General features: G+C 39.0%; 3 annotated features.

Moving 5' to 3' along the window:
• Positions 5,879-6,726: an enhancer, noted in NCBI's record as "H3K27ac hESC enhancer chr4:88740075-88740922 (GRCh37/hg19 assembly coordinates)". NCBI's record gives its function as "activates a minimal SCP1, AML or CMV promoter by ChIP-STARR-seq in naive and primed H9 embryonic stem cells {active_cell/tissue: H9 hESC(naive and primed)}" and the evidence as "EXISTENCE:reporter gene assay evidence [ECO:0000049][PMID:30033119]".
• Positions 5,879-7,130: a biological region, named in NCBI's record as "MED14-independent group 3 enhancer GRCh37_chr4:88740127-88741326".
• Positions 5,931-7,130: an enhancer, noted in NCBI's record as "MED14-independent group 3 enhancer chr4:88740127-88741326 (GRCh37/hg19 assembly coordinates)". NCBI's record gives its function as "activates an origin of replication core promoter dependent on BRD2, BRD4, P300/CBP and CDK7 cofactors, and independent of MED14, by STARR-seq in HCT116 cells {active_cell/tissue: HCT116}" and the evidence as "EXISTENCE:reporter gene assay evidence [ECO:0000049][PMID:35650434]".

Raw genomic sequence — 7,472 nt, forward strand, 5'->3', positions numbered from 1 at the left:
CTTGAACTCCTGACCTCAAGTAATCCATCCACCTCGGCCTCCCAAAGTGCTAGGATTACAGGTGTGAGGCACCACTCCCGGCCCTGATACTCAACTTTAACTGAGTGCTTCGTTTATCTGGCAATCCTACTTCTACTTGGCTTAATTTTAGCTGGACAAGGGGTGGAATGAGGTAGAAAAAAACTCTTACACAACACATACGCACAAAGGAGGGCTGATATACAAAGACTTAACAGCAAGTCACACCTTAATATAAACCTGAAAGCCATTTAAAATGGGAGTAAAGAAGGAAAGTAGATAGAAAGAGCAAAAAGAACAAAAATGCATTCATCTTTTAATTTATTAATTGATAAGATGTACTGAACATCTACAGAGCCAGACAATGTTCACACATTGAGCATATGAAAATGAAGAATACTGTGTTTGGGGTAATTTTAGTCTGTTAGTTACCAGTTATGAGACTGTCCATGCATCATAACATTCATTTTTTCAAACTTTTTGTCTTATTATATCTTTATTCCAAAATTCGTTTCTCAAATATTCAAACCACAAATTTAAAAAATTTGGTTTTAAATAAATATATATTTTTTCCCATAAGTTATTAGGGTACAGGTGGTATTCGGTTACATGAGTAAGTTCTTTAGTGGTGATTTGTGAGATTTTGGTGTACCCATCACCCGAGCACTATACACTGCACCTCGTTTGTAGTCTTTCCCTCACCCCTTCTCACTCTTCCCCCCAAGTCCCCAAAGTCCACTGTATCATTCTTATGCCTTTGCATCCTCATAGCTTAGCTCCCACATATCAGTGAGAACATACGATATTTGGTTTTCCAATCCTGAGTTATTCCACTTAGAATAATAGTCTCCAATCTCATCCAGGTCACTGCAAATGCTGTTAATTCATTCCTTTTTATGGCTGCATAGTATTCCATCATATATATATATATATATATATATATATATATATATATATATATATATATATATACCACAGTTTCTTTATCCACTCATTGATTGATGGACACTTGGGTTGGTTCCACGATTTTGCAATTGTGAATTGTGCTGCTATAAATATACATGTGTTCAAATATGCAATAAATATACATGTGTTCAAATAATGACTTCTTTTCCTCTGGGTAGATATCCAGTGGTGGGATTGCTGGATCAAATGGTAGCTCTACTTTCAGTTCTTTAAGGAATCTCTACACTGTTTTCCATAGTGGCTGTAGTAGTTTACATTCCCACCAGCAGTGTAGAAGCATTCCATGTTCACCACATACATGCCAACATCTACTGTTTTTTTTGATTTTTTTGATTTGGGCATTCTTGCAGGAGTAAGGTAGTACAGCATTGCAGTTTTGATTTGCATTTCCCTGATCATTAATGATGTTAAGCATTTTTTCATGGTTTTTAGCCATTTGTACATCTTCTTTTGAGAATTGTCTATTCATATCCTTAGCTCACTTTTTGATGGGATTGTTTTTTTCTTACTGATTTGTTTGAATTCGTTGTAGATTCTGGATATTAGTCCTTTGTCAGATGTATAGATTGTGAAGATTTTCTCCCACTTCATGGCTTATCTGTTTACTCTGCTGACTGTTCTTTTTGTCATGCAAAAGCTCTTTAGTTTAATTAGGTCCCAGCTATTTATCTTTGTTTTTATTGAATTTGCTTTTGGGTTCTTGATCATGAAATCCTTGCCTAAGCCAATGTCTAAAAGAGTTTTTCCAATGTTATCTTCTAGAATTTTTATAGTTTCAGGTCTTAGATTTAAGTCCTTAATCCATCTTGAGTTGATTTTTGTATAAGGTGAGAGATGAGGATCTAGTATCATTCTCCTACATAGGGCTTGCCAATTATCCCAGGACCATTTGTTGAAAAGGGTGCCCTATCCCCACTTTATGTTTTTGTTTTCTTTGTCAAAGATCAATTGGCTGTAAGTATTTGGTTTATTTCTGGGTTCTCTATTCTGTTCTATTGGTCTATGTGCCTATTTTTATATTGGTACCATGCTGTTTTGGTAATTATGGCCTTATAGCATAGTTTGAAATCAGGTAGTGTGATGCTTCCAGATTTGATCTTTTTGCTTAGTCTTGCTTTGACTATGTGAGCTCTTTTTTGGTTCCATATGAATATTAGAATTGTTCTTTCTAATTCTGTGAAGAATGATGGTGGTTTTTTGATGGGGATTGCATTGAATTTGTAGATTGCTTTTGGCAATATGTTCATTTTCACAATATTGATTCTACCCATCCATGAGCATGGGATGTGTCCTATTTATATGTGTCGTCTATGATTTCTTTCAGCAGTGTTCTGTAGTTTTCCTTATAGAGGTCTTTCCACTCCTTTGTTAAGTATATTCCTAAGTTGTTTGTTTTTTTTTTTTTGTTTTTTTTTTTTTTAGCTATTGTGAAAGGGGTTGAGTTCTTGATTTGATTCTCTGCTTGATCACTGTTGGTATATAGAAGAGCTACTGATTTGTGTACATTAATCTTGTAGGCAGAAACTTTGCTGAATTCTTTTATGAGTTCTAGGAGCTTTCTGGAGGGATCCTTAGGGTTTTCAGAGTAAACAATCATACCTCAGCAAACAGTGACAGTTTGACTTTCGCTTTACCAATTTGGATGCCCTTTATTTCTTTCTCCTAGCTCTGACTAGGACTTCCAGTACTATGTTGAAGAGGAGTAGTGAGAGAGCTCATCCTTGTCTTGTTCCAGTTCTCAGAGGGAATGCTTTCAACTTTTCCCCATTCAGTACTGTGTTGGCTGTGGGTTTGTTGTAGATGGCTTTTATAACATTAAGGTATGTCCCTTGTATGCCAATTTTGCTGAGAGTTTTAATCATAAAGGGATGCTGGATTTTTTCAAATGTTTTTTCTGCATCTATTGAAATAATCATGTGATTTTTGTTTTTAATTCTGTTTATGTGGTGTATCACATTTATTGACTTGTGTATGTTAACCACCCCTGCATCCCTGGTATAAAACCCACTTGATCATGATAGATTATCTTTTGGATATATTGTTGGATTCAATTAGCTAGTATTTTGTTAAGGATTTTAGCATCTATGTTCATTAAGGATATCAGTCTGTAGTTTTCTTTTTTGGTTGTGTCCTTTCCTGGTTTTGGTACTAGGGTGGTGCTGGCTTCATAGAATAAATTAAGAAGGGCTCCTTTTTTCTCTGTCTTGTGGAATAGTGTCAAAAGATTGGCACCAATTCTTTGAATGTCTGGTAGAATTCTGCTGTGAATCTGTCTGGTCCTGGACTTTATTTTTGTTGGTAATTTCTTAATTACAATGTCAATCTCGCTGCTTGTTATTGGTTTGTTCAGGGTATCTAATTCTTCCTGATTTAAGCTAGGAGGGTTGTATTTTTCCAAGAATTTATCCGTCTCTTCTAGGTTTTCTAGTTTATGTGTGTAAAGGTGTTGCTAGTAGTCTTGAATGATCTTTTGTATTTCAGTGGTGTCAGTTGTAATTTCTGTTTTGTTTCTTGGTGAGGTTATTTGGATTTTCTCTCTTCTTTTCTTGGTTAATCTTACTAATGGTCTATCAATTTTATTTATCTTTTCAAAGAACCAGCTTTTTGTTTCATTTATCTTTTGTATTTTTTGTTTGTTTGTTTCAATTTCATTTAGTTCTGCTCTGATCTTGGTTATTCTCTTTCTTCTGCTGGGCTTGGGTTTGGTTTGTTCTTGTTTTTCTATGTCCTTGAGGTGTGACCTTGGATTGTCTATTTGTGCTCTTTCAGACTTTTTGATGTAGACATATAGGGCTATGAACTTTCCCCTTAGCAGTGCCTTTGCTGTGTCCCAAAGGTTTTGATAGGTTGTGTCATTATTGTCCTGTTAATAGGTTGTGTCATCCTTGTCTTGTTCCAGTTCTCAGAGGGAATGCTTTAAAATAATTTTTTAATTTCCATCTTGATTTCATTTTTGACCCAATGCTCATTCAGGATCAGATTATTTAATTTCCATGTATTTGCATGGTTTTGAAGGTTCCTTTTGGAGTTGCTTTCCAGTTTTATTCCACTGTGGCCTGAGAGAGTGTTTGATGTAATTTCAATTTTCTTAAATTTATGAGGCTCATTTTATGGCCTATCATATGGTCTATCTTGGAGAAATTTCCATGCACTGTTGAATAGAATGTGTATTCTGTGGCTGTTGGATGAAATGTTTTGTATGTATCTGTTAAGTCCGTTTGTTCCATGGTATAGTTTAAATCCATTGTTTCTTTGTTGACTTTCTGTCTTCATGACCTGTCTAGTGCTGTCAGTGGAGTATTGAAGTCCCCCACTATTATTGTTTTGCTGTCTATCTCATTTCTTTGGTCTATTAGTAATTATTTTATAAATTTGGGAGCTCCAGTGTTAGGTTCATATATGTTTAGGATTGTGATATTTTTCTGTTAGACAAAGCCTTTTACCATTATATTATGTCCCTCTTTGTCTCTTTTAACCACTGTTACATTAAAGTTTGTTTTGTCTAATATAAGAATAGCTACCCCTGCTCACTTTTGGTGTCCATTTGCATGAAATGTCTTTTTCCACCCCTTTACTTTAAGTTTATGTGAGTCCTTATGTGTTAAGTGAGTCTCCTGAAGGTAGCAGATAGTTTGTTGGTGAGTTCTTATCCATTCCGCAGTTCTGTGTCTTTTAAGTGGAGGATTTAGGCCATTTACATTCAATGTTAATATTGAAATGTGAGGTACCATTTCATTCATCATGCTCTTTGTTGCCTGTGTACTTTCGTTTTTGTTTTGTTTTGCTTTTTGCATTTGCTTTTTAACTTGTATTTTTGTTTTATAGATTCTGTGTGATTTATGCTTTAAAGAGGTTCTGTTTTGATGTGTTTCCAGGATTTGTTTCAAGATTTAGAGCTCCTTTTAGCAGTTCTTGTAGTGGTGGCTTGGTAATGGTGAATTCTCCCAGCATTTGTTTGTCTGAAAACAACTGTATCTTTCCTTCATATATGATGCTTAGTTTTGTTGTATACAAAATTCTTGGCTCATAATTGTTTTGTTTGAGGAGGCTGAAGATAGGGCTCCAATCCCTTCTAGCTTGTAGGGTTTCTGCTGATAATTCTGCTGTTAATCTGATAGGTTTTCCTTTATAGGTTACCTGGTGCTTCTGACTCACAGCTCTTAACATTCTTTCCTTCATCTTAACTTTGGATAACCTGATGACAATGTGCTTAGGTGAAGATCTTTTTGCAATGAATTTCCCAGGTGTTCTTTGTGCATCTTGTATTTGCAGCCTAGGTATCTAGCAAGAGTGGGGAAGTTTTCCTGGATTATTCTCCCAGTTATGTCTTCCAAGCTTTTAGGATTTTCTTCTTCCTCAGGAACACCGATTATTCTTAGGTTTGGTCGTTAACATAATCCCAGACTTCTTGGAGTCTTTTTTTATATTTTCTTATGCTTTTTTCTTTGTCTTTGTTGGATTGGGTTGTTTCGAAGACCTTGTCTTTGAGCTCTGAATTTCTTTCTTCTGTTTGTTCAATAATTCTATTGCTGAGACTTTCCAGTGCATTTCACATTTCTAAAAGTGTGTCCAAAGTTTCCTGAATTTTTTTATTGTTTTTTCTTTAAGCTATCTATTTCCTTGAATATTTCTCCCTTCACTTCTTGTATCATTTTTTGGATTTCCTTGCATTGGGCTTCACCATTCTCTGGTCCTCCCCTCCCCTCCAACCCCCCCACCCCACACACACACACACACAATTAGCTTAACTATTAACTAACCTCCTGAATTCGTTTTCAGGTAAATCAGGTATTTCTTCTAGGTTTGGATCCATTGCTGGTGAACTAGTATGATTTTTGGGGGGGTGTTGAAGAGCTTTGTTTTGTCATATTACCAGGGTTGGTTTTCTGGTTCCTTCTCATTTGGGTGGGCTCTGTCACAGGGACAGTCTAGGGCTGAAGACTGTTGTTCAGATTCTTTTGTCTCACAAAGTGTTCCCTCTGTGTAGTACGCTCCCCCTTTTCCTATGGATGTGGCTTCCTGTGAGCCGAACTGCAGTGATTGTTGTCTCTCTTCTGGGTCTAGCTGTCTACCCAGCTCCAAGCTCGTACTGTGGGGTGTCTGCACTGAGCCCTGTGATGTGAACCATCTATGGGTCTCTCAGCCATGGATACCAGTGCCTGTTCCAGTGGAAGTGGCAGAGAGTGCAATGGACTCCATGGGGGTCCTTAGCTTTGGTGGTTTAATGCTCTATTTTTGTGCTGGCTGGCCTCCGGCAGGAGGTGGGACTTTCCAGAAAGCATCAGCTGTAGCGTGGAGAGGGACTGGTGGTGGGCAGGGCCCTAGAACTCCCAAGATTTTATGCCCTTTGTCTTCCACTACCAGGGTGGATAGGGAAGGACTATCAGGTGGGGGTTGGTCTAGGCATGTCTGAGCTCAGATTCTCCTTGGGCTAGTCATGCTGCGGCTGTAGTGGGGGATGGTGGATTATGGCTGCCTTTGCTGAGTCATGCAGGTTGTCAGGGAAGTCGGGGAAAGCCTGCAGTCACAGGCCTCACCCAGCTCCCATGCAAACTGAAGGGCCAGCCTCACGCCCACCGTGTCCCCACCAACATCCCCAAGTCTGTTTCCAGGGAGAGAGTTAGATGGGCTTGAAAACCTGCCCAAGGCTATCCAACTCCCAGATGTGAAAGAAAAGGGCTTTAGTTCTTCCCCAGCCTGTGAAGTTTGCACTCCAGATTCATGCCCTCCCCGGAGTTCTGGCCAGGAGGCTTTCTGCTCCGTTCAAATTGTTATGAAGTTCAGCTAGAGAATTCCTTCTCCCTGTGGAGTTTTACCCCCTGCTCCTCTGGCCACTCTTCTGATGGATCTCTGTGATGCCAGACAACAATAGGCTGCTTGGGGACTCAGTGAACTCCTAGGGCTTTTTTGCTGCTTCCTCTACCCCTGTATTTCACTGGCTCTCTAACTTGACTCAGCTCCTGGTAAAATCGGAAACCTCTCCCACAAACAGAACTTCAGCTTCTCCCGTGGAGGTGTGTGTTTGGGAGAGGAGGGTTTCCCTTTCCCACTTCCACAGTTGGGGCACTCACAGTATTTGAGGTGTCTCCCAGGTCCTGCAGGAGCAGTCCACGTCCTTCAGAGGGTCTGTGGCTCCTGTTGGGATTGTTGGTTTGTTCTTGCAGTCAATCTAGAGCTAAAATTCACAACGCAAGCCTCCACATGCTTCTCTGTCCAGAGCTGCAATCTAGTCCTTCCTCCCAACCCATCCGCCATGATCCTCCGTTTTTGTTTTGTTTTGTTTTGTTTTGTTTTGTTTTGTTTTATGACGGAATCTCGCTGTATCACCTAGGCTGGAGTGCAGTGGTGCAATCTTGGCTCACTGCAACCACCACCTCCCAAGTTCAGGCGATTCTCCTGTCTCAGCCTCCTGAGTAGCTGGAATTATAGGCGCCCACCACTACGCCTGGCTAATTTTTGTATTTTTAGTAGAGGCCAAGTTTTGCCAT

Source organism: Homo sapiens, chromosome 4 (genome assembly GCF_000001405.40).
Source record: "Homo sapiens chromosome 4, GRCh38.p14 Primary Assembly".
NCBI lineage: Eukaryota > Metazoa > Chordata > Mammalia > Primates > Hominidae > Homo > Homo sapiens.